This window comes from Homo sapiens, chromosome 11, assembly GCF_000001405.40.
Source record: "Homo sapiens chromosome 11, GRCh38.p14 Primary Assembly".
NCBI lineage: Eukaryota > Metazoa > Chordata > Mammalia > Primates > Hominidae > Homo > Homo sapiens.
The window spans coordinates 119,882,014-119,883,281 of record NC_000011.10 but is presented as its reverse complement, the minus strand read 5'-3'; positions in this window follow the sequence as shown (position 1 = coordinate 119,883,281).

Below are 1,268 nucleotides of genomic sequence, written 5' to 3'. Positions count from 1 at the left end.
ATATCAACATTGTAAAGACGTCAGTTCTCCCCAGATTCAAAGCAACCTCTGTCAAAATCCCAGCGCAATTTTATGGAACTTAATGCAGGTAATTTAAATTCATCTGGAAGAGAAAGGGAACAAGAATAGCCAGGCAGATGTTGAAAAAGAAGAATGATGAAGAAGGATTTACCCAACCAGCATAAAATATATTACAATTACATAAACCATAGTCATTAAAACAGCAAGACGTTAGCCTAAGAATAGACAAACAGATAAGAAACAGATCATGTGTGTACAGGAGTATATGATAGCATTTCTAATTAATGACCAAGTGTTGGACCATCTATAGATAGCACAGGAGCAGTTACTTGTTATATCAGTTTAGTCACTGCTGCCTGCTGCCCATAACAGAGAACTTGACTCAACCAGGCTTTAATAATAAGAAAATAACATTGCTCATGTAAGGAAGGCCAAGACAGATAAAGAGGTAATGAGGCTTCCAGACTGCCCTAATCCATGGCCCTGGCTCCATCCCTTGAAGTTTCATGCATAGCCAGGACCCTCTATACATGAGCCTCCCCCTCAGGCGGGCTTCTTTCATGGTGGCAAAAGAGCCATGGCAGCTCCTGGATCCACATCTACAAAGCATCATGACCAAAGGAAGGAAGCGGGTCTCTGCTCTTCCCCAGGGATCATCTTTTAGCAGTAAGCAAAATATTTTTCCCAGATGCACTCAGTAAACTTGCCCCCACCCTAACTGGGTCATGCACTGATCCTGAACTAATCACCGTGACCAACTTCATGCCATGCTCTGATGTTTAGGCGAGGTATATGGGATTACCCTTAAACCAATAAAGCCCAGCCCTAAAGCCTGAGGGATAAATGGGCACAAGGTGAAAGCCTAAATGAAAAGACAGGGAAGGGAGGAATAAACAAGAAGTGGGCCAGCAATAATGGCTCCAAAGCTATCTACTTGGAAAAAAATACATTGGGGCCCTATTTCCCACCATTCACAAAATAAATTTCAAATTGACTAAAGAGCTACGTAAGAGAGGTGAACACTATAAAACTGTTAGAAGAAAATACACTTAAACTTTGGGATAGAGAAGACCTTCTTAAGGAGACACACACACAAATAAGCCCATAAATAAAAAAATGGATACATTGACTGCCAAAATTGTTTCTGTCTAACCAAAACAAACAAACAAACAAACAAAAACCCTATAAGAACAACTGAAAAATAATTTAAAGACTGGGAGAAATAGATGAAACATGCACAACACATA